Here is a 27,363-nt window from a genome sequence, read left to right on the forward strand (position 1 = left end):
GGAGAGGCATTAACTAATGAAGAAAACAGTGACTCCCCTCTTCTGCCACCACTGACACTCCATACCCAGGCCTGTGCCACCAGGCCTGCTTCCAGGACTGTGGGCTGCCTGTTCCCTGCTATCCTGAGCCTTCCAGCTCCAGTGCCAACAAGGGCACTAGGTAATGGGTACTTCTGATGAAGGACACTGCATGAGATCTTCCCATCACTTAGAGAAGTGTTCCATTTGGGGTCATTACCAACCCTGTCTACTCAGACCAGCAAAGCATAGAGAAAAATAGGATGGATAGGCAAGTATAAGGCATCACCTTATATCTGTGTCTTAAAAAGCTCTTTATATTACAGAATTTCTTTATTTGGAACAACAAAATACTCTGAAGGGAATCTCATGAATTTTAGTTTGGAACGTTTATAGAGGTTGTCTGGAAGAATAGTTTTTGTTGATTTGGTTTTTTAATACAAAGAAAAATAAAAGCTTTTGTAGTTATTCTTGAAGGTATGACCTCCAATTACAAGCATGAGAGATATTGTAAGCAAGTCCTTTTCTTTTCTTTTTTTTTTTTTTTTAAGAGACAAGGTCTCACCATGTTGCCCAGGCTGGTCTCAAACTCCTGTACTCAAGCAATCTGCCCACCTCAGCCTCGCAAAGTGCTGGGATTATAGGTGTGAGCCACTACACCCAGCCTGTAAGCCAGTCTTTTAAAGCTCATTTTAAACTTTTTTTTTCTTTTTTGGGACAGGGTCTTGCTCTGTCATCTAGGCTGGACTACAGTGGCACAATCTCAGCACACTGCAACCTCCATCATCTCCAAAGTTCAAGCAATTCTCGTGCCTCAGCCTCCCGAGTAGCTGGGATTACAGGTGCCCACCACCATGCCTGTCTAATGTTTGTATTTTCAGTAGAGACAGGGTTTCACCATGTTGGCCAGGATGGTCTAGAACTGCTGACCTCAAGTGATCCACCTGCCTCAGCCTCCTAAAGTGCTGGGATTACAGGCGTGAGCCACGAGGCCCAGCCCATTTTAAACTTTTATTATGACAATGTTTATTTTATATTTTAAAATTTTATTATGACAAAAGGAGCATATAGCACAGTGACTCTCCATATAACTGTCACTCGATTAACAATTACTCGATTTTTTGATGTTTGCTTCATTTATTGTGTTTTACTTTTTTTCTCTTTGCTGAAATCTTTTAAAGAGCATCGCAGGCCTCATGCCATTTCACTCCTTCCTACTTTAGTATGCACCTCTAAAATGCATGAATATTTCCTTACATAGCCCCATGAAGATCCCTTTTAAAAGCAATACAAGAAGTCAGCTTTGTGGAGATGGCAAATAGCACATGGCTATGAAGGCTTGAGATAACATTTCCAGTGAGCATAGCATACAGACTCAAAAAGTCCGAAATCTCAAAGGCAGTTGGACAGAAGCAAGATGAAGTATTCTGGAAGATTGAGTCAGATCATTCAAAAAGGGACACAAGGCTGAGCATGGTGGCTCATGCCTGTAATCCCAACACTTTGGGAGACCGTGGCAGGCAGATTGCCTGAGATCAGGAGCTCAAGACCCAGCCTGGCCAACATGGTGAAACCCCGTCTCCACTAAAAATACAAAAATAAGCCGGGTGTGGCGGCACACGCCCATAATCCCAGCTACTTGGGAGGCTGAGGCAGGAGAATCACTCGAACCTGGGAGGCAGAGGTTGTAGTGAACCGAGGTTGTGCCACTGCACTCCAGCCTGGGTGACAGAGCGAGAGTCCATCTCAAAAAAAAAAAGATGGGGGGCACAAGTGATGACAAAGACTGTTGATAAATAGTCTGAATAATGAGTAACAAAAAAGCAAGATTCCTAAATAAGTATATTTATGCATGTGATTCTAAATATAACTGGCCAGCCGCGGTGTCTCACGCCTGTAATCCTAGCGCTTTGGGAGGTCCAGGCAGGCGAATCACTTGAGGTCAAGAGTTCCAGACCAGCCTGGCCAACATGGTGACCTGTCTCTACTAACAATACAAAAATTAGTCAGGCGGGGTGGCACGTGCCTGTAGTCCCAGCTACTCCGGAGGCTGAGGCAGGAGAATCGTTTGAACCTGGAAATGGAGGTTGCAACGAGCCAAGATCGCACCACTGCACTCCAGCTTCGGTGACAGAGCAAGATTCTGTCTCAAACGAATAAATAAATAAACAAACAAACAAGTAACCAAGTCAATAAATTAAATTCTTAACTAGAAATATGACTATTTCACTTACATCATTAAAAGTATATATTCAAGCCACCAGGCATGGTGGTTCATGTCTGTAATCCCAGCACTTTGGGAGGCTGAGGCAGGTGGATCACGAGGTCAGGAGTTCAAGACCAGCCTGGCCAACATGTGAAACCTCGTCTCTACTAAAAATACAGAAATTAGCCAGGCATGGTGCCACATGCCTGTAATTCCAGCTACTCGGGAGGCTGAGGCAGGAGAATCTCTTGAACCTGGGAGGCAGAGATTGCACTGAGCCGAGATCATGCCACCACACTCCAGCCTGGGTGACAGAGCAAGACTCCATCTCAAAAAAAAAAAAAAAAATCAAGCCGGGCGCGGTGGCTCACACCTGTAATCCCAGCACTTTGGGAGGCCGAGGCAGGCAGATCACCTGAGGTCAAGAGTTCAAGACCACCCTGGCCAACATAGTGAAACCCTGTCTCAACTAAAAACTACAAAAATTAGCCAGGCATGGCAGGGCACGGTGGCTCACGCCTGTAATCCCAGCACTTTGGGAGGCCGAGGTGGGCGGATCACGAGGTCAGGAGATCGAGACCATCCTGGCTAACACAGTGAGACCCCGTCTCTACTAAAAATACAAAAAACTAGGCGGGAGTGGTGGCAGCTGCCTGTAGTCCCAGCTACTTGGGAGGCTGAGGCAGGAGAATGGCGTGAACCCAGGAGGCGGAGCTTGCAGTGAACCGAGATCGCGCCATTGCACTCCAGTCTGGGCGACAGAGCGAGACTCCGTTTCAAAAAAAAAAAAATTAGCCAGGCATGGTGTAATCCCAGCTACTCACCAGGCTGAGGCAGGGAGAATTGCTTGAACCAGAAGGGCAGAGGTTGCAGTGAGCCGAGATCGCACCACTGCACTCCAGCCTGGGTGACAGAGCAAGACGCCATCTGAAAAACAAAAAAAAAGTATACATTCAAGATGGCAAAAAAAAAAACAACAAAGGACACAAAATGTGTGTAACCTACCAATTGGGAAATAGGGCATTGCCTCATATTTGGGCTTACATACATGGTATCTTCAACCCATCACCTACCTGCCTCCGCCAAGCCTACTCTTCCTGGAAACAGTACTTCTTCAGTGTCTACCAGATGCCAGGCACCATGCCAGGCCCTGAGTATATACGTCCCTGAAGTGCACACCTGCCCTGTGAGGGACATCCTACTATCCCCTCACTTTTTCAGGGGAGAAAAACTTAAGACTTCAAGAAAGTGAGTTATTTCCCACAGAGATAATAAAGGTGGAACGTAGATCTGACTTATTCTGCCTTCTGCCCTGAAGACTCTTTTTTACTCTCGTCTTCCCCAAAGTAGCAGCTTTAGATCTGCCCTAAACCAAGGGGCAATATAAAGGTTTCTACTCATACTGGGAGACGGGGAGGGCTTACCATCTGCACCATCCCAGGACAGCCATCGCTTCATTTTGTCTTAGCCAAATCACTGTTTCTGGCTATGACAGTCTAGTAATAAACAATGGATGACACTACCCAATGGTGGCTCTAATGCCGCTAAGATAACAAAAATAGCCAAAGCATTTGCAGAGGGCTTAGCTGTAGGGCAGCTGAAGGCACTTGAGTTTCCATCAGGCTCTCAACATGCTACCATTGCTTATGTTCACCCATGCGTCTTTTTCCCATTCAGGGTTGCTAACTCCATTAGATAGTTGTTCTCTGCCACTTCCTCTAATATTATCTTCCCATAAGATGAGGAAAAGAAACACAACAAATTCAGCCCTGCTCAGCCACGTGGTCCAGCCCACACAGGTCTGTGCTACATATAAACTTGTGGCTCCTTGTTTAGCCTCACCCCTGAACTGCAGGATGATTCCCCAGCAACTCATTTAATCTTTCTTTACTGCAGTTTCTTTATCACTAAAACGCGATGTTTGAAGACCATGGCTGAAGTAGCCAAATAATATTATCCAATTAAAGTGAAAAGCACCATATAAATGCTACAGAGGCTAAGACTTAAATAGCCACATATGGTTTGGGGAAAAGCACTCCAGTGCATCAGCTAGCAGTAAAAACATGCAGGAGCGAAATGATCTGGCTGGAAATGAACTGCAAATTGATAAACATTTAGTTGCTAATGCAGTGTTTATTATTTTTTACTAGGATAAAAATTAACTTGTGCGGCCTTAGCCAGCAAACACACTGAACTCTACCATCTGGGTAGTGGAATCGGTATTTCTGTAGCCTCGGGTTACAGGTGACTGTTGCCAGATTTGATTTTATTGGCAAATAGGTCCTGGTGTGTCCGGACAACAGAACCGCGGGATGCTTCTGGAAGCACAAACACGCCAGCGCACCAAAGGGTAACATTCGAGAGGGAGCTTAGGGCCACCCTCAACCAGACTCAGAATCCTGTATTTCCCAAAAAGAGGTTGCTACTTGTGTTGAAGAATCGCCTTTAGCCTTCGAAATCAGCCAGGGCTGCAAGGCGACGACCTCTCGAGGAACCGGGGGTTCGGGCAGCGGGGGATGGGGGGCGCCTGGAGCTGGGAATGGGACGCAGGGGGCGGACGCCGGCGGGACCACGTGACAGCGCCAGCAGCGGCCGCAGCTGCCCCAGCTGCAGACGCCGCCGTCCTCTCCCCGGGGCCGTTTTCCATGAGCTTTGCAAGCAGCTGGATCAATTTACTCGAGCCACAGCGCCCTACACAAGCACGGTCTGAATTATTACTCATGGAAATCCCCTCTGTTTCATGGAATCAGGTAGCTTTCAAACTCCCAACAATTAATGGCCCTTTTGGTCAAAGGAGAATAGCAAAAAAATAAAACAACCCCCGCCCCAACCCACCCCCCAGAAAAACCCAACCCAGACTGCCAGGCTGAGGGCTTCTAAACAGTCCGTTTGGTTTCTAGTAAATTAGAGAGAGTGGGTGGTTGAGGTACAAGTAATGCTATCCTGTAGAGTGTGGTCTTCTTTGACGTCAGCAAAATGTTTCTCTCGCGTTTCTGCTTCTTTCCCTCTCTCCCTCCTTTTCCCTCTCCACCCTCCTCCTTCCCTCTTTATGTCAAAGAGACAGATGACATAGGGTAACTGTGGAAATGTGCTCATAGTTTTGCAACATAGCTCACAGGCTCAGAAAAATTCCCACATTTTAAAAAATGAAGAGTATTGTGGGAGGTGGGTAAATTGGCAACACAAAAATACATGCTACCCAGGAAAGGAAGGGGGAAAGGCTGCTGGGAAGTGCAGTCACCACCACTGGCGGTATGGTCTTCCCTCCATCCTGCCCGGTTAGCAGCTCTGTCTGAGGGAACATTCTTCCTGTGGCGAAGAACACATTCTTGCTCCAGCTGGCCTGAAATCGGATCCTGGAGAGCATGCGCCCTGCTCCCTGGCTACTGTATTTGTGGGACCCATCCCGGACTGCTGAGCCAGGATTTCTGTTGGCTCTGCTCCCCCTCACCCCCCTTCAGCTAGAGTTGTTTTTCTCTACTCATCAAAGGCAGCAACAGCTGCCCCCATGGGTTAGCATAGAACTTTCTAGAATAAGGATTCCAAGTCTAGGCAAACATTTGTAACCTGACCCTGCAGTACTTTTGTTTCCCCTTCAAATTGCTTTTGTCAGCCCCACTGTTTCAACAGGGGCAGCCGTGGACACCCTAGGGGTCTGGCCCGACAGTCACAGGGTGAGGATTGGTGGAGTGGGCCACTCCCTTTGTGGCTGTGAATTGCCATTTGGTCTCTAGAGTAATGTGACTCTCACATTCTTTGCCCAGGCAGCTCTTTAAAAGCAGGAATCTATCCTGACCTCGCGGGTTCTGACGTGCTGACTGCAAGTGTGGTTTCAGGCAGGCAGAGAAAGGAGCGGGGCCCAGAGTACACATAGGCCTGGTTTTCTCCATGTGGGGTGTACTGGCTTCCCCCTCATCCCTTCCCTGATCTAGACAGCAAGGGCATCAGAGAACCTTAGAACAGGGAGTACTTTGTAAACCAAAGCCTCTAAATGCTGCAGACACCAGGTTCATATGAAAAGCATATCTGCCATGGAAAAAATACATGCACGAGAAAATGGAGCAAGGTCACATGAATCTACTCAGAAATGAGACCTGGAACCTGAAAAAGAACCTCTGTGTCTGTGTGTGCTTGTGTGTGTGTGTGTATTGGGGGAGGGATAGGTGCATAGCAGCATCATAAGCAGATAACATAAGAGCACAGCACACAGTAGATATTTATTAGGTTGTGCAAAAGTAATTGCGGTTTTTGCCACTAAAGGTAATGGTGAGAACCGCGATTACTTTCACACCAGTGTAATAAGGATTGGGCGGATGAACAAATGAGCAAGTGAATGAATTACAGGAATGAATTGGTTTAGAAAACAAAGCAAAAAGGAGCTGAAACTTTCTCAGGGGTGGATGGGGGTAGAGCTGCTGGATCAGTTTGGAAGAGAACAGACTTCTAAAGTGTAAACTTTAGAGCACTTTGTAAACCAAAGCTTCTAAATGCTGTAAATGCTGCAGACACCAGGTTCATGTGAAAAGCGTATCTGCCATGGAAAAAAATACACGCACGAGAAAATGGAGCAAGGTCACATGAATCTACTCAGAAATGAGACCTGGAACCTGAAAAAGAAAGTGTGTGTGTGTGTGTGTGTGTGTGTGTATTGGGGGAGGGATGGGTGCATAGCAGCATCATAAGCACATAAGAGCGTAGCACACAGTAGATATTTATTAGGTTGTGCAAAAGTAATTGGGGTTTTTGCCACTAAAGGTAATGGTGAAAACCGTGATTACTTTCACACCAATGTAATAAGGATTGGGCGGATGAACAAATGAGCAAGTGAATGAATTACAGGAATGAATTGGTTTAGAAAACAAAGCAAAAAGGAGCTGAAACTTTCTCGGGGGTGGATGGGGTTGGTGCTGGATCAGTTTGGAAGAGAACAGACTTCTAAAGTGTAAACCCAAACCAGGAGTCTGACATGATGACTGATGATAATGACACTCGGTAACGAGCTTGAACACTTGCCACGTGCTGGACACGGTGAGTGTCTGACACACATCATCTCGGCTGGTTCTCATAGCAACCCCAGGAAGTAGGAACTAGGTTAAGGGTATGTCGACTCTTTGGGGCACCAGAGAAGAAAATCCTGGACCTGAAGGGTTTAGGAAGATTTGAAGCAGATGTATCCAACCAAGAGCAACCCATGTGTAACTCCAAGCTGGCAAAGTGGGTTCTTTAGTGGCCCTGCCTGCCTAAGTCTGACCTCCACTGTAGTTTCTGCCCGCCTCGGTCACTGTTGAGAGGAGACAATTGCTCTCCTGCTGACTTACCGTGCAGAGACCCTGAGGGGGCCGAGGGTGGAATGGCTCTGATCCCAGGCAGCAAAAGCTGGCCTAGCCACCTCCTTCCCATTGCTCCTTCCTTCCCGCAGAAACTGCGGGAGGGAAGGGAAGAATTGGCATCCCTAGGCTTCGAGGGCGGTTCTTTTGTGCTTCCGGCCCCAGCCTTACTGGGCAACCGCTGGGCTCTTGAGGAAGCAGACTCCAGTTTTCCAGGACATTAAGGGACTGAGGTAGCCAGAGTGATGCCAACGGGCCTGTCCTTGGTGGCCTCCACGGACCTTCTCTCACCTTTATGAGAAGAGCAGGAAACTTTGGTTTGACCCAACTGAAGCGCTGGTGCCTCGCAGCAGCTCTGGTTTATTAAGGCTGAGCAGGCTCTGTTTTCAACATCGTCACAGGGATCATTTTCCTCCACCTCACGTTTCCTCTCCTGGAAATGCACCTTAGTCATTTTTTGGTCACTTCAGGGGAATTCTCCCTCCTTCATGGTCTACACCATTGCTCTACTGAATTATTCTTTCTTCCAAACATGCTATTACAGCCCTGACACCACAGGTGTACATTTAATAAAAATAATCCTCCAGGGGCATCATTTGAAATATCCCCCTCTCATGTAAGATGTTTCCCTGAGAGGTGGAGTGGGGTGAGGTGGGAGGGACCTTGGAGGAGGAGCTTCTGCTTGAACACAGCTCGTTGCCCTCTGATTACCAGGACAGAGTGGAGTTGGCTGTCAACTTGAGCTTCTTGCCTACTCCTCACGGACCCTGGACCCCCATGCCCATACATCCCAACAGACTGGATTCCTATTACCCACCCATGGGCATGCCATTAAAAATATGGAATATGAATAAGCTCCAGAACGCACTGGACTCTGCAACTCAGCAGGTGTGTGATCAACCTGAACAAAAGACAGAGCCCTTAGCCACTGCCAGGTGGTTTAGCAAGGGCGTTGAGAAGCTGTTTGGCTAACAGCACACAGACCAGTCTGTGCTCCCGTGATGGGGGCAAAGATGAAGCAGATGCCCTCGTGGCCACCTGACACAGCAAGTTGCTAGCCTCCCTAAACACACACACGCAGTCATGACCTCCAGTGTCCCTGGAAGGTGGCACGGGTAACAGCCAGTGCATGCTCTCTAGTCCTGGCCAGCTGGAGTCCAAGCCTTGGATAATAATACCTCCTTGATGGGCTAATACAGTGTTTATAGCACTTCTGGCTTCTGGTAGGCCGCTTTTTATTGTTGGCAGAAACAATGTTTACAGTGGCTTGGTGCTGAAGATCACTGCAATTTATTGAGCCATTTTTATGAGCCATGTGTGTTAAATACATTACCTCTACTCACATTAGCCGTCAAGGTAGGTATCATTATTCCTGTTTTACAAATAAGAAACCTGAGCTTAAAGCAGTTAAGTAATTTGCCCAAAGTCACATAGATAGTGGCAAAGAGATGGCTCCCATTAAGGTAATCCATGCCTCCTTCACGGCGCTGTGCTGGCCTGCATGGAGAGACAGGTCCACACAAGCAGAGCCCCTACTTCAGGGCAACACAGAGTAAATCCAAGTGATTATGCAAAAGGGCGATGGTCGTGTGTGTGTGTGTGTGTGTGTGTGTGTGTGTGTGCGCGCGCGCGCTCACCCTCAGCTCAGGACAGCGCTTTTCAGCTGCACACAGTCTGCCAAAGGCCCATGTTCAAAACCCACCTATTGAAAAGCTTGATTCTGACCCTCAGCCCACAGCAAATGTAGGAAACAAACAAAGGGCATTCATAAAGACTAGGGTTCAATGCAAAGTTCCTGCACATAGTAAAGCTCAATAAACCAAGCAGTCAAAACCACTGGAAAGCATCAGTAGACATTCAGGTAATGATACATTTATTTTAAGCAGTCAGAAAGGAAGAGCAAAAGGTAAAATCAGCTTCTGCATGGGTAGAGGTTTATCCTTGCCCCTTCTTCGAGATAGAGCTAACAAGCCCAAAGTGACTTGAACAAGGAGAAGGAGCCTCTTGCAGGTCACTGGCATCCATAGATAAACTGTAATGGAAGTGTGGCTATGGGGATAAGTGGGTTTTAACACATCGGCTTTGACTGGTGACAAACACTCTTTTGCTCTATATCCCTCCATACCCCCTTTAGTTCCTTGATGATAAAGACTCCCCCTTTAGCTTTTCCAGGCCACTCTTGTTGAGAAGCCAGTATTCTAGAAGTTGAAGTGGCCTTGGAGGTCATTCTTTGTTGCAGCAAACTTTCCTTGCTGAATCAGACCCCATAAAATACCAACTATGAGTCACACACAAGTAAATGAGCCGCTATTGGGAAGAGAGATAATGGGGTGATATTTATCAGTGGCTGAATCTTAGCAAACAATGAGCATTGCCTAATCAGTGGTCATGTTCGTGTAGATTACCTTCCAGTTCACTGCATGGTAGCTCTTGGGATGGTTTCTAACTGTCAATATTTACAGGAACCAGGCACTTAACACAGACCAAGTGGGCTGGATGTCTCCACGGATGACTCATGCCAAATGAAGCCTTTTATCTAAGGGTCACTGCTCTGAATCCTCATTGGCTAGAGCAGATTGGAAGTGATCAGGTCACTGAAAAGCTTGTACATGGCTGTGGGCTCAGTTCCGTTCTCTGGATGTACCAACATTTATGAAATGAAAGCGTAGAAGAGAGCAAGGGTTTGAACGCGTGTAGACCTGTAGTATTTGTTTGTTTTTATTGGCTAACTAGTAAATATAGCTCTGGGGCTAGGGGAAGGTGGCAGTGAGATGGCACCATGAGCCCACATCAGTCTCCATTTGCAGCAAGATTCATACCCTTGAGTGATAGGAGCCTGCATCACCCCAGACCTACCTGAGAAGGCGTCTGCGCATCAGCCAAACATGCAGACAGACACACACCGAGGAAGGGGTGCAGCTTAGAACCCAGCAGATCACCTTGCCTGGTTATGTAAGTAAGCAGAGTAGACCTGTCTGCCCAACCAGTCCAGGTAGAAAACCTTGGCTCCGTTCAAGCATTGGGAGATAATTTCTTTGGATTTTGAAAGCTTAGGATATTCAGGAGGCACTCATCTAAAACGCAGCTAACCTCAGGAGTAGGGCACACCCTAGGTCCCATCAAATAAGAGGATTCTGCTTGGGAGTAAGCAGGGAGCAAGAGGAAGAAGGCAGGGCCGAGGGGCAGAAATGGAGGCCAGGAAAGGAAGGCACTGCAGGAGGAAGTGGGGCAGGAGAAGCTGAGCATACCCAGGCTTTGGGACACTCTTGCTGGGCTGGCCCTCAGAACATCACTGGAATAGACATAGAAAAGAAAGGGAAGCTTGTTTTAACATCAACGTTAAATGAAGAAATGCCACGAGACTTCAGAAACACCACTATGGATATGAGGGAAAAGTGAATGTGATGTGCAAATTTCACTCCCCAGCATGCACAAAGAAGCTGATTGCAGCCACATTGGCAGTCACATCTTGGCCAAAGTCCTCTGGGGACCCAGTACTATGCAACACGGGACCCGTTGGTCAACACTGAGCTCTTGGAATCCCAGTTCCCTTTAAAATCAGCGAACTAAGCCAGGATTGCAAAACGACCAATGGGACAGGATTATTATTGTGTTGAGTGGTGAAAAATGTCTTTGATCCAAAATGGTAGATACTGTAGAAGAACGAGGAATATTGAGTCTTCCATACTGAGCCTGTTTTAAATGGGCTTGGCTTGTTAATAGGCGCAGCAGGTTTGAAGACTGGGGGGTGTTTCCAGAGATCCCAAGATGATTTCAGAATGAAATGAGCTGGTGATTCCTGCAGATAAAGAGATCAGAGCACACAGCCATCCTCCAGGGCCATAAATCAAAGGACAGTCCTGTAGCAATTGTGTGGAAACACAACATTGCCATCATTTTTGCACACAAAGGACAAAAAGTGACATAATTCGTGCCCCAGAGAATCATTTTATTGCAGCCTTTTCCAGCCACCATGCCCCATAAAGCTGGGACTGGCAAACACTGGCAAACACACTGCCAGCCACACAGTCACAGCGTGTCCACAACAGCTGGGGTCCCTGTTCCCAGTCTTTCTGAGATGCACACATGCGGCTGCTTCGTCAGGCCATGTGTGTGTTCTGGCCGTGAGTGTGTATACACGTGAGCTAAAAACAAACTTGGAGAGTGGGGGACAGCCAAAAGAAAATGATGCTTCTGATTCTATACTGAAGGGTCTCCATTCTATTCCAGAGCTTCCGTAGGGCGGCATCTGCTGGAGAGCACTCTGTTTCATTTCCCCCTAAGTTTCTGCTTTCTGCTGAGGGTAGAGGTAAGGAGAGGCTGAGTAGGGAGGGTTTGGGAGGAGAAAATGAAGAAGAAAAGATGAGCTCGTTCCCGTTCCTCTTTTCCTGTACTTCTCTACTTTCATCTGTAGATCATCTAGAATAACTTGCAGATGGCTATATGCTCAGTGAACGTGTTGAGAGGCTGTATTCATTTTCCCGGGCTGTCATAACAAAGTACCACAGACTGGCTTAAACAACAGAACTTTACTTCTTCACGGTCTGGAGGCTGGAAGTGTGAGGTGTAGGTGCCGGCGGGGTTGGTTTCTTCTGAGGCCTCTCTTTGGCTTGGAAATGGCCATCTTCACCCCATGTCCTCAGATGGGCTTCCCTCTGTGTGTGTCTATGTCCTCATCTCCTCTTCTTAGAAGAACACCAGTCATATTGGATTAGGGCCCATCTTCGTGACCTCATTTGTACTTAATCACCTCTTTAAAGACCCTCACACTTGGCCAGGCACAGTGGCCCACACCTATAATTCCAGCAGTTTGGGATCACTGAAGTGATCACCTGAGGTCAGGAGTTCGAGACCAGACTGACCAACATGATGAAACTCAGTCTCTACTAAAAATACAAAAATTAGCCCGGCGTGGTGGTATGTACCTGTAATCCCAGCTACTTGGGAGGCTGAGGTAGGAGAATCACTTGAACGCTTGAACCCGGGAGGCAGAGGTTGCAGTAAGCTGAGATCACGCCACTGCACTCCAGCCTGGATAACAGAGCGAGGCTCTGTATCAAAAATTAAGTAAATAAATAAATAAAGACCTTATCACCAAATAAGGTCACATTCTGAGGTCCTGGGGGTTAGATATTCAACCACAACAAAAGCAGAGCAGGAAGAGATGTAAACAAATGTGCAGAGCCCTGGCAGAAGCTTGGCACTGTGCCAGGCAGGAGAGAGAAAAAGTGGGAGAGACATTATCTCAACGTGATTGAATGATGAAATGATAGCCCTGGTGAGTGAGTGAATAGGTGGATGGATCAATCATGAATGAATTGAATGAACATCAAAACTGCTCCCCGAATCCAGAGGACTCAACAAACTCCAGGCATACCAAGTCCAGAAGCCGAGTCCAGAGCTGACAGCCTATTCCCATCTCTATCTCCCACGGAGCTGCAGAGATCATTAGGGAACTAACGTGGCCACTGCTTCATGCCCACAGAGGCCCACCAGCTCTTTCCTAGAGCAGAACCACCGTGCAGAGAGGTGAGGCACTCCCAGATGAAATCCAGGCCTTCCCCATCTGTGAGCCCTTTCCCAAAGTGGGCTCACAGCAGCCCACAGTCACAAAGCAGAACTGAAACCCCCTACAGGCAGCATCTCAGGTCAGCTGTGCGGACAGCGCTACCTGCCACAGGCCACACCAGCTGCAGTGCGGTGACGGGTGGTGTTCTATGCCTGGGATAGTGTCACCCTGCCAAATGAGAGTGAAAGTCTCCACATCCTCCACGCCATCCCCTCAAAACACTCCCGGTGCCCGAAACTGTACCCCTAAGTAAGGAAGCCAAATTAGAGGAACAGAGAGGGAACATGCCCCTGAGCTTTCTCATCAGTGCATTCTTCCACGCACTGCAGATAATTCAGCTACGTCACTCAATTATGATTGTCTGTGCTGTGAGTGTTTACTTAATCAATCTTCAAAGAGCTTTCCAGATGGGTGTTTTGGTGACTAAATCAAGGTCAGAGTTCCTCCTGCAATCAAGCAGAGGCAGCAGGGGGCAGGCCCAGCTGACAGTCATCTGATCTCCGCAGCTGTGCACAAACTTTGAACCAGTCCAGTGTCTCTTTCAGGCTCCCCATGAACCCCAGTCCTTAGTCCACTCCTGAATTGCAACAACACACAACACAAATGCACACAGCGATGCCTCCCTTTCTTGGATGACTCTTTTATATCATGTTCCTGCACATTCTCCCTCCAGTCCAAACATAAGCAAGTTGCACAGCGTATCCATGAATCTTTCCTTTATTACAGAATCTGCACTCCAAAAGCACTGGCTTGGTATTTCCTCTGCCCCGGTAGGGATTTTTATGGGGTTTTTATTTGGTTTCATTTTTGCCATGCTTCTGAGAATGGTTCTTTTGTTCTTCCTTCACTCACCGCTTAGATCCTCCAAGGCATTCCACTCAGAAAATCACACGGCTGCTGCCCCCACTCCAAAAAAAGGGAGCTGAGAAAAACCCCCATTTTCCTATGGATTTTCAAGCCAAAAAACAATGGGCTCTGTGGACAGATGTCACCCCTCCCCCAGGCCATGCCCCTCACTGCCAGGCAGGGGAAGCAGAGGCGAAGGAGGAGGGCCCACTGCGCCCTAGGACTTGGGAATAGCTCTCAGCACCACGGTGGTGGGCTCCATTGTATGTCTTCCAGGACAGGGGCCCCTTCTTCTGGAAAGTACCCCCTCCCTAGCACAAATCAGAGTCCAGATGTGAGCAGGCATCAGTTCAGCTCTTCCCAAGCCGCAGTGTTTGAGCCAATGATGGTCACCTGGCCCCAGTGAAGGCCGTGAAGGCCCCTCTCTGTCCCTTTCTGGCAGTGAAGTCATGAGGTACAATAAGCAAAAGCTGCCATCGTGCACATTACCTGCCATAGAGAGGAAGCTTAGCAAAGAGATTTAGATCAGTATTCAGAGGAAGTTGAGGCGTGAGAAAAGAGAGAGCACGTGGCAGTGTTGGCTCCCAGTTGCAGGTGTCCAGGGTCACACAAAGCCCCCTTTTAAAAGCCCAGGCTGGTTTGACTTGCATTTCTCTCTCTAGAAGCTCTCAAGTCCTTGTTGAATATGGCAGTGACTGGATGCTGGCCATCCTACCTGAACTAGACCAGCCGAGCCTCTGCTCTGGCCAAGCAAATGGGAGGAGATGGAGGGAGAAAAGAGGAAATGGGAGAGACTGGGCCGGAAGAAGAACCCCTGTCCAAGGTGATGGAGGGCGTCGGAACACAGAACACCTGTAGCAGTTTTGCAGAGGGCTTCCAATTCTTTATCAAGCCTGCACCCGACTCTTAGGTTATACAGTCTTAGGCACAAGCAATTATCTGAATAATTGGAGTGTTTCTTAGAAGAGGTTTTAGGTGTCAGCAGCGATGTCTGTTCAGACGGCACACTAGTGACAGATCCTTGGAAAACTCCATGCTCTAGAAGAAAAAGCCAATCCTGACTTTTCACTTCGGAATGTCTCAGCTCCCCACCTGACCCTCTCCTATCGTATCATTGGCTAAATAGACAAAGGGACCACAAGAAAACTACCTCCTCCTTCAACTGCCTCCTCCATCAGTCTAGCGCCTGCCTAGGTGGAGCCCCTGAGAACTATGCTGCTCCCCCAAATGCAACTCCCACAAAGGAGGGAGCTCTTGAGGCAGGCACAGATCCAGGATTTGCCTCGGCTCTCTATGTCACTAGCCTCTCTCAGCTGAAACCACAGGAAGGCCTCAGGTCAGAAGGCTTACCCAATGTGAAGCAAGGTCATAGGGTCCAGCTGAGCCCCCTCACTCATCCAAAGGGGTCAAGGGAGGGCCAGCGGCTACAAGGGGTCAGAGCCTCAGGTTTGACTCCAAGTTCAAAGAATCTAGCTAAAGCCACACTGTGCCCCCTGGCACCACCCTCAGAAACAGATCCAATCCTGAGTCAGAGAGGAAGCAGACACTCACTGAATCACGCATCCACTTCCTCCTACCCACAGCCGCTCAGCCAAGACCAGCAGCCGCTTCCAAGGGACAAATTAGTGACTGACACTCGGAAAAGTTGATGCTGTAAAGGAGAGCAAGCAGGGCGCCACGCACGCGGTGTGAACCACCAGGACCGAGTTTACTGTGGCTCCCCACCCCCTGCATTTTTCAGAGTAAAACTGCACATTTTGTAACAGCCCCTATCCTGTCCTGCACTGACCTTGGCTGTGTTATTTTTCACTTCCCTGTTCAGAACACAGCCACACTTTCCAAATGCCATGAATCATCACCACCGAGCAACGGCCATTTAGCAAGGCAGGAAACCACTGCGCACCAGGCCTGGAAGGAGTAGCTCCCTGCAGTGGGCCTCTCCCACCCTGGCTGTTCGTCGTGGCAAGAGTCCACCACGGAGGCTGGCAGGGCAGAGTTGCCACCCCATGTTCTCAGTTTCTCCACCATCGTCCCTGGGGGCTTCCAGTTCCCCCTTGCACTAGGTCACAGGCAGCGTTAGCCATCTTCTGACTTTCCCGAAGCCTCTCTTGGTTGCATTGGCTGAAATGAAGCTGTCACCTTCCAATCTCGGAAGGGAGAGAAATTCTTGGTGACATTGGCTGAAGTGAAGCTGTCATCTTCCTATCCCAGAAAGGAAAGAAATGGGGAGACCCATTCGAGACCAAGGGAGGCCAGGCGCCATGGCTCACGCCTGTAATCCCAGCACTTACGGAGGCCGAGGCAGGCAGATCGCTTGAGTCCAGGAGTTCGAGACCAGCCTGGGCAACATGGTGAAACCCCGTCTCTACTAAAAATACAAAAATTACCCAGGCTTGGTGGTACATGCCTTTAGTCCCATTTACTTGTGGGGCCGAAGCAAGAAGATCCCTTGAGCCAGGGAGGTCAGGTAGATTAGATCAGGTGGATCTTGCACAGACATCAACAAGACATGGGACGTGCATTCTGCCTGCAAGTGGCCTTGCAGTTATAGGCAAATGTCATCCTGTCATCCTTTATGACCAGAGCCATGCAGGCTTCTAGATGCCATTCAACCAGTTCCTGAAAGTAGTCACCGGTGAGTCCATAAATCAATCAATCAACAAAATATTATTACCCTCAAATGGTTATCAAACTGTTCTGTGCTAGGCACCTGGCACCATGGCTCTCTGAATAACATATGTCTGCCTTCATGCCAGCCTTAGTTCCTCATGTAGTAATGATATCCTCATATGAAGTCATTATTTTTGCCTCTATTTAACCATAAACAGTACCATTCAAAAGTAAAATGATCTAGGAAAGGCAAATCAATACAACAATAAAACATCAGTTTTAACCTATCAGATTGGCCAAAACTTTAAATATTGTCAATGGCTAGTGTTGGCCAGAGAGTGTGGAAATGGGAACTCTCCTTATTATTGGTAGATGTTTAGTGTTATACATTTTCTGGGAGAAATTTGACCCTGTACATTAAAATTATTCATGAGTACTCTTTGTCTTCTTAATTTTAAAACTAGGAATTTATTCTCAGTTGAGCCACCAGAAAAAAATTGCACAGATAGTCATCACAGTGTGGCAAATAAATCTAAAAAATAAATAAAGCTGAAACAACCTAGAAGTGATTGAGTCAGTGACTTATAGTATGTTTAATCATATGCTATGCAACCATTAAACATAATGTTGGAAATCTACATCCAAAGCCATAGGAAGATATTCACATGGATCATTCTGATAGATAAAAAGTAGGAGCTGATACAACATTTGCAGCCCATTTATGTAAAAATGTTGTTGTGAGGGCGTATTCATAAAAGAGACACCTGGAGGCTTATCAAATCGTTGACAGTGGTCACCTCTGCAGAGTGGGATTTGGGGATGATTTTTACTTTCCTCACATTTTCTGTATGTCTTAAAATTGCCTACAATACATATGAAGCATACTTACAGTCAGAAAATATACACACATTGGCCTGGCGTGGTGGCTCACGCCTGTAATCTCAGCACTTTGGGAGGCCGAGGTGGGTGGATCACCTGAGGTCAGGAGTTCGAAACCAGCCTGACCAATATGGTAAAAACCCGTCTTTACTAAAAATACAAAAATTAGCCCAGCGCAGTGGCATGCACCTGTAATCCCAGCTACTCGGGAGGCTGAGGCAGGAAAATCGCTTGAACTAGGGAGGCGGAGGTTGCAGTGGGCCGAGATCATGCCACTGCACTCCAGCCTGGGCAACAGAGCAAGACTCTGTCTCAAAAAAAAAAAAAAAATTTAAAAAGAGAGAAAATATACACACATTTCTTTTCATTTTAAAACCAAATGCAACACAAATCTAAAAGCTGTTTGCCTAACAGATCATATCTGTGCAAGATAAGTTTTACATGTTCTCTTTCTGATGGAAGATGTTTCTGCGGACATTCCACCAGAAGGTCGTGGGTCCTAAGCTGTTTTTCCAGAGCTCTGATAGGCTGAACTGAATTATGTTCACACTCTCTTACGCAGCCCCTGTGTGGCAACCTGATGGATCAGGATGGCTGACCAGGGGTGGAGGGGTAGAGACAGGGACATGGCAGAGTTTTCTCCAACAGGTGCCAAGTATCCAGTGTGGTAATCAAATCCCAGCTTGGAATTAACTAAATTAACTACCACAGACCTCTCTGGGTGGCCAAGCAAATTCAGACGTTTTGAAAATATATAACTCACAACCTCTCTCTCTCCTCAGCTCCAGAAATAAATTCCAGACCCTTGGAGATCACAAAAACCTAAAGCCAGAAAGATCCGTAGGCAGTCATGTATTTTGGACTCCTCGTTTGACGTTTGAGGGAACCAAGGCTCAGAGAAGTGAAGTGACTTACTCAAGGTCACACAGCATAAGGGTGGCAGACACAAGAGAGCTTGTGTCTCTTCATCTGTAATCCAAGGTTGCTTTTGCTATAATGCATCTAGCACCAGTACAGTGGGCAGGGGTGGGTGTTAGTGTGGAAGATGTCCTTCATACCATCATAAACGGTTCCTGTGAGGGGTCCAGAATATACTATGATGGCCTCTGGCCCTGTAGAAGAGTCTAGTTAGAGTTACATGTGAGCATTCTTAACCAGAAAGTCATGTATTTTTCTGAAAGGGGATAGAGAGAGAGCTTTCACTATATTTCAAAGGGGTCCCATCACACAAGGAAAACTAAAAATGGATGAACTAAAGCATGGGTTAGCAGATGTTTTCTATCAAGCTCCATCGAGTAAATATTTTGGGCTTTGCAGGCCGCATGGTCTCTCTCCCAGCTACTCAACTCTGCCCTTGTACTGTGAAAGCAGCCATTGATCAAATGTGAACAAACGGGCATGGTTGTGTTCCAATAAAGCTTTATTTACAAAAACAAGCTGTGGGCCAGATTTCGCCCAGGTTTGCCAACCCCAAAACCTAAGGATCCGATCAACTTCCTTTCTATTACATTAGATGCTGCTTGCCCCTGCTCTCGGGTGAACTGAATGACATCCATATTCCTGGCAATGGATCCAGCACTTAGCCAGGGACCACCAAGGAAGTGGAGAGGCACATAAAAGGCATTCGTTTCACTTTTTCATTAAACAACAACTTCTTTGAATTCCTAATTGGAAACTTTCACACAAGAATCGAGGTTGCTGCAACTCATTTCCTGCTGCCCTGCTTGCAGTGTATTTTCAGCAAAATAATTGTTGAGTGTGGAGGCTGACATTTGACCTCTGGTGGCTGCCAGCAACATACTTTGCTGACTCATTTGCATATATGGTGTTCGAAACACACTGGCACATTCTTCCCTTTTCGCATGAAGCCCAGACGTCCTTGATTAACTGGAGACTAAAATAAGATCTCAAGGTGGAGCGAGGCTAGGAGGGAACTGGAGATTTTTTTCTCCTGTTGTGGCCAAGGAGCACTTTTTTTTTTTTTTTTTTGAGACTGAGTCTCACTCTGTCGCCCAGGCTGGAGTGCAGTGGCGCGATCTCGGCTCACTGCAGCCTCCGTCTCTCGGGTTCAAGCGATTCTCCCACCTCAACCTCCCGAGTAGTGGGGACTGCAGGCGCGTGCCACCACACCCGGCTAATATTTTATTTTTAGTAGAGACGGGGAGTACAGTGGCACGATCTTGGCTCACTGCAACCTCCACCTCCTGGGTTCAAGCGATTCTTCTGCCTCAACCTCCCGAGTAGCCAGGACTACAGGCACGTGCCACCACACCCATCTAATTTTTCATTTTTAGTAGAGACAGGGTTTCACCATGTTGGCCAGGCTGGTCCTGAACTGCTGACCTAAGGTGATCCGCCTGCCTGGGATTACAGGTGTGAGCCACCACGCCCAGCCCAGGGAGCACTTTAATGCAAGTTGAGAAGTACTCAGCACCTCCTCTGTTACCGGGTCAGGCCTTGCAATGTGTACAAAGCACCGGGCCTGGGATCCAGGACATTGGTCCTCTGCATTTGTCAGATCCCATTTGTCCTGGTGTCCCCTGGGAGACATGTCACTCTCCTGCTCCACAGACCCTCACCCACCTACAACCCTTGGGCCTTGCCCCTTCCAAATTCTGGTACCAAAAGGACTGGGTCAGTTGGTTCTAAAAGTGAGAGGCAGGTGAAAAAAAAGTTTTTCCATTTGTGCAATGATAGTTGTGAATACTCTCTGACCCTATGCAGCAGAAATCCCATCTGTGGATAATAGCTTTGGGGTGCAAATGCCTTCTCTGGGCTGTTTTAGACCCCATTCCATGCTTTGGCATTAGGACATACACAAACACACTTCTCTAAGGGACACAAGAGGTAACAAAGCCCTCCTTCCAAGAGGACAGTGGAGGAGGGAGAGACCAGGCTGGCGTCAGGCCAGCAAGGAGCCGGTATTGAGTCCTCCACTCTGTCTCCCACCTGGGTGTCCCAGTCCCTGGACAAGCTGGCTCCTGCGGGAGGCCCCCATTTCACATCTCAAGCGGCTTCCAGAGGATTCAATGAGCTATTTTTTTCCTTTTTCTCTTGTTATATAAAAATTATAGGAGGCCATTGTTTTGAACCAAGCTCCCACACTAGGCCCCAACAGACCAGACTAAAAATCAACATGGGCCAGGCACAGTGGCTCACACCTGTAATCTCAGCACTTTGGGAGTCTGAGGCAGGCGAATCCTTGAGCCCAGGAGTTTGAGACCAGCCTGGCCAACATGGTAAAACCCCATGTCTAGAAAAAATAACAAAAATTAGCAAGGTGTGGTGGTGTGCACCTGTAGTCTCAGCTACTCGGGAGGCCAAGGCAGGAGGATCACCTGAGCCTGGGAGGTCAAGGTTGCAGTGAGCAGAGATCATACCACTGCAACCCAGCCTGGGCACCAGAGTGAAACCCTGTCTCAAAAAAAAAAAAAAAAAAAAAAATCGGCCGGGCGCGGTTTTTACAGGCTCAAGCCTGTAATCCCAGCACTTTGGGAGGCCGAGGCGGGTGGATCACGAGGTCAGGAGATCGAGACCATCCTGGCTAACACGGTGAAATCCCGTCTCTACTAAAAATACAAAAAAATTAGCCGGGCGTGGTGGCGGGCGCCTGTAGTCCCAGCTACTCGGGAGGCTGAGGCAGGAGAATGGCGTGAACCCGGGAGGCGGAGCTTGCAGTGAGCCAAGATCGTGCCATTACACAACAGCCTGGGTGACAGAGCGAGACTCCGTCTCAAAAAAAAAAAAAAAAATCAAACTGGAGTCACCCACGCTAAAGTTCCATACCACCAAACCAAAACAAGGTTGTTATCTGACCTTCTGAGAATGGAGAGAGAGAACAGCCAATCTCCCAAAAGGCCCGTTTAAATCTTCAATCAGAATGATAATGAAGTTCTTTCTGCTTTAATCCTACCACAAAAAAAGGTAGCATGAAGTCACCCAAGGTTAACTAACGAGTTATTTTTCTATTGTTCTATCTCCCTGTGCCCTCCTTACAAGAACAAGTAACATTGAAAAGTAACTAATACAATCTTTGTTCCCTGTTTCTGTTTTCTTCAGTCCTTCTCTGTCTACAAAGCCAACCTCTTCAGCTCAGCTCAGGGAACACTTATTCCATTGTGTGGAATGAAGTGTTGTTCGATGCCAGAATCACAAATCAAGACAATCAAGGTCTTTAAGCTAAATTTTTTGTCATTCTGGTTTTTGACACTCTTTTCTACCGGGACCTGTTTCCCAGCTTTCTCATGGAAAATCCCTGAGCCGGCCACTTCCTGTTTTTGTTTTGCTTTTCTACCCCATTGGTGTACCCTTTGACCTTTTGTCCCTTGTCATGATCCTCCATCTCAAACTGGGAAACCACGCATAGATCAAATCCCCAGCCCCAAGCAGCTAGCTCTGTGCCGCGTGTACTAAACAAATCCTTTCTCCGAGGGGTCCTCTGAGTTGCTTCCTTACCTACAAATGGGATGCTGAGAAGACTTAGGCATTTGTTTTGGGCTCTGCTGGGCTCCCTACCCTGTGTCGTGATGCCCCCAGCAAAGCCCTAGGCAGGGGTGGATGCCGGGGTGCAGGATCTCTACATGCAAACTTTAGTAACAATCATTGCTGAGTTCTGAAACTTCTTGATCCACTTTTATTTGGAGCTAGAGGTTCTCTTCTGCTTTGTTTTGACAACTAGACTGGCTAGACTATGGCCTGGTGACGCCTGTTCTTTTTCCTTCTTTTCTCCTGTTTTGTCCCCTGCCTCTGGGCCCGGCATTCCTGGCATATTTGGAAAGAGTAGGAGCTGGCCTGAGGCCACTTTTCCGAGTATCTTCTCAGCCCTGCAGTCCCGTTTCCAACACACAGTCTCTTTGCTTTTGTTTATTCTGCGTTTCACACTCCCAGTCAGGAGCCAGTCCCACAGGCAGGCCCAGAGATCAGACTGCACAGGCGAGAGGGCTGGAAACTCCAGGGTCCTCACCGCCTCTGCAGGTGGAACATGCAAACCGGTCAGACAAAGGAGGGGTTAACCTTGTACCCATCTTATGGGGAATTTCCCCAAATACATCTGGCACCTACGAAGTGAAAGGGAAAAAAGAACCCCACACAGTAAGCCCCACTGCCTTTGAGGATTTACTGCCTGGAGCATGGTCCACTGCAACCTCATTAAGGGCCCAAAGTTAAGCACTATTTTCCCTTGGTCTCTGTCTCCCCGGCTGACCTTCGCTAGCACACTTTACCCCTCCAGCCTCAACTTTCCTCTCTCTGGAGGCGCCTAAAGAGGCTTACAGAGCAAGGCGCTTCCAGCCAGGGCTCAATCGGGTGGTACCTGGGGTGACCTCATTTTCTGTCAGGCCCAGCTAGGCCTGTCTTACATCTTACCTGGAGGAAAGGTCAACACAATTCATAGCAGAGGAAAACCTGAAGTTTACTCTAGTCTCTAAATTGTTTTCAAGTTCCCATGGGGGAAAGAGATTGATTCATTTTGTTAATAAGCAAAGGTCTTATTTTTCCACCTTTAGTCGTATAAACGTCAAGGGGGAAAAAAAGGCTTTGTATTCAATCAAAAGACAGTTCCAGCATTTTAAAAAAGTCAAGTGGAGATGAAACAGATGATCTTCCAGGAAAAAAAAAAATAGTCTTAACTCCCAAATTATAACACCTTAAATTATCTCATGTTTAATTCTAGCAACAAAGACCTCAGTGTTTGCCTGTGTTAAAGAATAGTTAAAAGCATAGAGTGTTAGGAGCTACAGCCAAGATTCTTCCAGGTTTCTTGTGCCCTGCAATGAATCAAACCACTGGCCCAGAAAGGCCTTTAAATGGAGCCATAATATCAAATTCAGAGTTTCATAGCAGTGTGACTCAGTAATAGCCAAAAGATCAGCAGATGCATGGATAAACCAAACGTGGTAAATCCACACCGTGGAATATTATACAGCATTAAAAAGGAAGGACATTCTGGCACTTGCTATAACATGGATGAACCCTGAAGGCATGATACTAAGTGAAATAAGCTGGTCACAAAAGGACAAATACTGCATGATCACAAGTATTTGAGGTTCCTAGAGTTATTTCTGTTTTGCAAAATGAAAAAGTTCTAGAGACGGGGGTAGTAATGGTTGTACAACAACATGAATGTGCATAACACTACCGAACTGTATACTTAGAAATGGTTAAGATGGTATATTTTATGTTGTCTATATTTTACCACAGCTTTTTAAACATTTAATTAAATGTTTTAAAGTTTCCGAGTCGCGAATAAAGAATCTTGAGTGACTAAGCCTTCTCCTTCTCTGTACATGCAGAGCCGTGTATATACAGCTCTTTTCTGAGAACCATTGATTGTGCCTTTAATTTAGAGTCAATGCAGAGTCACAAATGCACCCGCCCACTTTTCTGCTTCAGAACTTAGCCTAAGCTACCACATCCTCCATTGTAAGGGAGAGAAAGGGCAGTTCTTTGCCCTGTTTGACTAATGGAAAAACCAGAGGTCATGGAGGTTAAGTAACTTGCTCAAGGTTAGGCAGTTCACAGGGGCTGCCCTCAGTTAAAAGTTCCTGGTGGAGCTGTCTCCAGATTTATAGCCCCCCAAAGCATTGAATAAACCTGGGTCAAAACCAACGTGTGTGGGTGGAGAGATTGGAGTGGCATTCCAGGACCGATTTTCCAAAATGAGCTCTAAAATCAGTGCCATGTGGACAAAAGCAATCCAGAAGGACATCACATTTGTTCATTCAAACAGTGTTCATGGCAGGGCACAGTGGCTCAGGCCTGTAACACCAGCGTTTTGGGAGGCCCAGGTGGAAGGATCACTTGAGCTCAGGAGGTCAGCCTGGGCAACATAGGGAGATCCTGTCTGTACAAAAAATGAAAAAGCATTAGCTGGGTATGGTGACTCATGCATGTAGTCCCAGCTACTGGGGAGGCTGAGGTGAGAGGATCGCTTGAGCCCAGGGGGTTGAGGCTACGGTGAGCCATGATCACGTCACTGCACTCCAGCCTGAGCAACAGAGTGAGATCCTGTCTCAAAAACCAAACAAAATGTAAATAGTGTTCATGGAGTTCCTACCGTGGGCTGGGCTCTCTGCAAGACACAGCATCCATGCCTGGGTCCCCACCGAGCTTGGGGCAGGGGAGGAGGCAGGATGCAGGCCTTCAACAACCAGTTGCAAGACAGGGTGGCAGTGCAGAAATGGAGAAAGTGGTGAGCACAAAGGAGAGTTCCAGACCTACCTGGAGAGGTGGAGCCATCAGCTGAGACCCGGACAGGTGGGCACTAGGGCAGGTAGTACGTGGCGCGTGTGCAAAACACCCGGGACACGGAGAGCCTGGTGACTTGCAGAGAACCCTCCCTCTGCTCTCCCACATGCCCTGTTTTTCCTCAACACTGATCATTCCCGTTTTCCTATAAACATGCTATTCTGTCTTCCCTATTTAAAAAAAAAAAACAAAAAAAAAAAAAACTAAGAATTCCGCATCTGTGCCAGCTATCTCCTTTTATTAGCTTCCTGGGGCTGCTGTTACAAAGTACCACGGACTGGATGGCTTAAACAACAGAGACTGACTGTCTCCCAGTTCTGGAGCCTGGGAGTCCAAGATGAAGGCCTTGGCAGTGTCGATTTCTTCTGAGAGTGTGAAGGAGGCTCTAAGCCCTGGCCCCTCTCCTGGCTTCTGGTAGCCTCGGGCGTTCCTTGGCTTGGAGATGGCTGTCATTAACCTGTGTGTCTTCACATCACCTTCCCTCTGTGTGTGTCTGTGTCTGTGTCCAAATTTCCTCCAGTCATATTGGATGAGGGCCCTCCCTAATGACCTCAGCTTCATCATCATCAGAGACCCTATTTCCAAATAGGCTCACATTCACAGGTACTGGGGGTCAGGTCTTCAGCATCCTTTGAGATGGACACAATTTTTCCCATAACACTCTCCATTGCTCTGTTCTCCTTTGTAACAAAAAGCCCTCCAAAGAGTCTTCTAGACTCAGGGGATCAACCACGGGACCCACTGAGCTCACTCTGTGGTCTTCAGGCACCCCTCAAATTTGTATCTCCAGCCTCAACCTCACCCCAGAGCTTCAGACTCATATACCCTCATCCCTTAATTTAGTAAACTCAGAGCAAAGGCCACCAGACATCCTGACTCCACTCTTCCCTTCTCCATCCGCCACCCCTCACTCAGAGAGGATGGCTTAAGCTTCAACACCTGCAACCAGGACTGTGCCTTCTTGCCACCTCCTCACCATCGTCTCTCCCCTGGAGCATGAAAGGAAACTTCTCACTGCTCTCTCTACTACCACCCACGTACTCAGTCCCAACACAGCAGCCAGAAGGTTATTATACCTCCTGGTGTGCACTTAAACCCTCCCATCACATCCCAAATAAGAGTCAAATTCCTTAGTGTGGCCAGCCAGGGCTACCTGGCTACCAGTCAGCCCCTCTGCCTGTCACTCTCCATGTTTCTCACACAGCTCTCACCACCCAGGCCTTCTTATTATTTCTCAATTACTCCAAGCTCATTCCTACCATAGGGCCTTTGCACAGGCTTTTCGCTTTCAGCTATAATGCTCCTTCCCTTTACTGCAGGGGCTAACTTCACTCCATCTCAGCTTCACTCTCATCTCCCCCGGGAGGCCCTCTTAGACCATCTCTCCTAATACTCACCCCTCCCAGATCACTCTCCATCCCTTACCTTGCCTTATTTTCTTCAGTATCACCTACCACTCTATGCAATTAAGTTGTCTATTTATTCAGTTATTACCTGTCATCAGTCTAGAATGTAAGTTCCATGAGGGCAGGAACATGTCTCATTCACGCAGGGTCTTCAATGCCTGTAACTAATGTTTGTTGAAAAATAAGGACTTTGGGCCTGGCATGGTGGCTCGTGCCTGTAATCCCAGGACTTTGGGACACCAAGGTGGGCGGATAACCTGAGGTCAGGAGTTTGAGACCAGCCTGACCAATATGGCAAAACCCTACTAAAAATACAAAAATTAGCCGGGTGTGGTAGCACATGCCTGTAATCCCAGCTATGGCTGAGGCAGGAGAGTCACTTGAACCTGGGAGGCAGAGGTTGCAGTGAGCCAAGATCATGCCATTGCCATCCAGCCTGGGCAACAAGAGTGAAACTCCATCTCAAAGAAAAATAAGGACTTTGTTTCAGGAGCAATGGGGAGACTGTAAGGGTTCAGGGAGAGGAGTGACAACATCAGTGTTTCATTTTGAGAGTTCCCTCTGGTTACTGCATGCAGAAGAGACGAGGCAGGGCCAATACCCAGGCGAGAAGCAGTGCACCAGCCCCTATGGAGGTTCAGGGGTATCTGGTAACCTGGAGAGTCTGAGGATCCCATGGTCTTGAGTTAAATCTCTCTGGGACTTCAGGCAAGTCAGTAAGCCCCTGCACACCTCAGATTCTTCATATGCTAAATAATGTGATATGAATTCCTGCTACAGTTGGCTCTTAGTATACGAGGGGGATTGGTTTCAGCAACCCCATGTATACTCATATCTGCACATACTCAAATTTGCAGTCAGCCCTGCAGAATCTGCAGGTATGAAATGTCCCCCTGCTCTATATGCAGGTTTCACATTCTGTGAAGACTATATTTTCCATCCGCATTTAGTTGGAAAAAATCTGCGTATAAGTAGATTCACATAGTTCAAGCCCATATTGTTCATGGGTCAACTGTATAGAGAGTTGGGGGGCAGGGATTAGAGGAGACTCTGCTTATAAAGCTCTGAGCACATGGCCAGTGTTCAGCCAACATCAGCTATTGTCTTTTTTTTTTTTTTTTTCTGAGATGGGTCTTACTCTGTCACCAGCCTGGAGTGCAGTGGCGTGATCTCGGCTTACTGCAACCTCCGCCTCCTGGGTTCAAACAATTCTTGTGCCTCAACCTCCCAAGTAGCTGGGATTACAGGCACACACCA

General features: G+C 47.5%; 1 long non-coding RNA gene across 1 annotated transcript, besides 11 other annotated features; it reads right to left on the bottom strand.

Moving 5' to 3' along the window:
- Window positions 3,763–3,932: an enhancer, noted in NCBI's record as "active region_2777". NCBI's record gives its function as "activates an Ori minimal core promoter by ATAC-STARR-seq in GM12878 lymphoblastoid cells {active_cell/tissue: GM12878}" and the evidence as "EXISTENCE:reporter gene assay evidence [ECO:0000049][PMID:35858748]".
- Window positions 3,953–4,012: an enhancer, noted in NCBI's record as "active region_2778". NCBI's record gives its function as "activates an Ori minimal core promoter by ATAC-STARR-seq in GM12878 lymphoblastoid cells {active_cell/tissue: GM12878}" and the evidence as "EXISTENCE:reporter gene assay evidence [ECO:0000049][PMID:35858748]".
- Window positions 4,862–4,921: a silencer, noted in NCBI's record as "silent region_1982". NCBI's record gives its function as "represses an Ori minimal core promoter by ATAC-STARR-seq in GM12878 lymphoblastoid cells {active_cell/tissue: GM12878}" and the evidence as "EXISTENCE:reporter gene assay evidence [ECO:0000049][PMID:35858748]".
- Window positions 5,012–5,061: a silencer, noted in NCBI's record as "silent region_1983". NCBI's record gives its function as "represses an Ori minimal core promoter by ATAC-STARR-seq in GM12878 lymphoblastoid cells {active_cell/tissue: GM12878}" and the evidence as "EXISTENCE:reporter gene assay evidence [ECO:0000049][PMID:35858748]".
- Window positions 5,682–5,841: an enhancer, noted in NCBI's record as "active region_2779". NCBI's record gives its function as "activates an Ori minimal core promoter by ATAC-STARR-seq in GM12878 lymphoblastoid cells {active_cell/tissue: GM12878}" and the evidence as "EXISTENCE:reporter gene assay evidence [ECO:0000049][PMID:35858748]".
- LINC03108 (long intergenic non-protein coding RNA 3108) lies at window positions 9,402–15,437 on the bottom strand. Its single transcript, NR_186308.1, has 2 exons — window positions 15,317–15,437; window positions 9,402–15,004 (listed from the first exon to the last, which is right to left on the bottom strand). It is a non-coding gene; the product is annotated as a long intergenic non-protein coding RNA 3108 (long non-coding RNA).
- Window positions 14,196–14,699: an enhancer, noted in NCBI's record as "H3K4me1 hESC enhancer chr1:235115282-235115785 (GRCh37/hg19 assembly coordinates)". NCBI's record gives its function as "activates a minimal SCP1, AML or CMV promoter by ChIP-STARR-seq in naive H9 embryonic stem cells {active_cell/tissue: H9 hESC(naive)}" and the evidence as "EXISTENCE:reporter gene assay evidence [ECO:0000049][PMID:30033119]".
- Window positions 21,121–21,660: an enhancer, noted in NCBI's record as "NANOG-H3K27ac-H3K4me1 hESC enhancer chr1:235122207-235122746 (GRCh37/hg19 assembly coordinates)". NCBI's record gives its function as "activates a minimal SCP1, AML or CMV promoter by ChIP-STARR-seq in primed H9 embryonic stem cells {active_cell/tissue: H9 hESC(primed)}" and the evidence as "EXISTENCE:reporter gene assay evidence [ECO:0000049][PMID:30033119]".
- Window positions 21,121–22,200: a biological region, named in NCBI's record as "NANOG-H3K27ac-H3K4me1 hESC enhancers GRCh37_chr1:235122747-235123286 and GRCh37_chr1:235122207-235122746".
- Window positions 21,623–21,917: an enhancer, noted in NCBI's record as "tiled region #12837; HepG2 Activating DNase unmatched - State 1:Tss, and K562 Activating DNase matched - State 8:EnhW". NCBI's record gives its function as "activates a minimal TATA promoter and a strong SV40 promoter by Sharpr-MPRA in HepG2 cells, with weaker activation in K562 cells {active_cell/tissue: HepG2 | K562}" and the evidence as "EXISTENCE:reporter gene assay evidence [ECO:0000049][PMID:27701403]".
- Window positions 21,661–22,200: an enhancer, noted in NCBI's record as "NANOG-H3K27ac-H3K4me1 hESC enhancer chr1:235122747-235123286 (GRCh37/hg19 assembly coordinates)". NCBI's record gives its function as "activates a minimal SCP1, AML or CMV promoter by ChIP-STARR-seq in primed H9 embryonic stem cells {active_cell/tissue: H9 hESC(primed)}" and the evidence as "EXISTENCE:reporter gene assay evidence [ECO:0000049][PMID:30033119]".
- Window positions 22,201–22,740: an enhancer, noted in NCBI's record as "H3K27ac-H3K4me1 hESC enhancer chr1:235123287-235123826 (GRCh37/hg19 assembly coordinates)". NCBI's record gives its function as "activates a minimal SCP1, AML or CMV promoter by ChIP-STARR-seq in primed H9 embryonic stem cells {active_cell/tissue: H9 hESC(primed)}" and the evidence as "EXISTENCE:reporter gene assay evidence [ECO:0000049][PMID:30033119]".

This window comes from Homo sapiens, chromosome 1 (assembly GCF_000001405.40).
Source record: "Homo sapiens chromosome 1, GRCh38.p14 Primary Assembly".
Classification (NCBI taxonomy): Eukaryota; Metazoa; Chordata; class Mammalia; order Primates; family Hominidae; genus Homo; species Homo sapiens.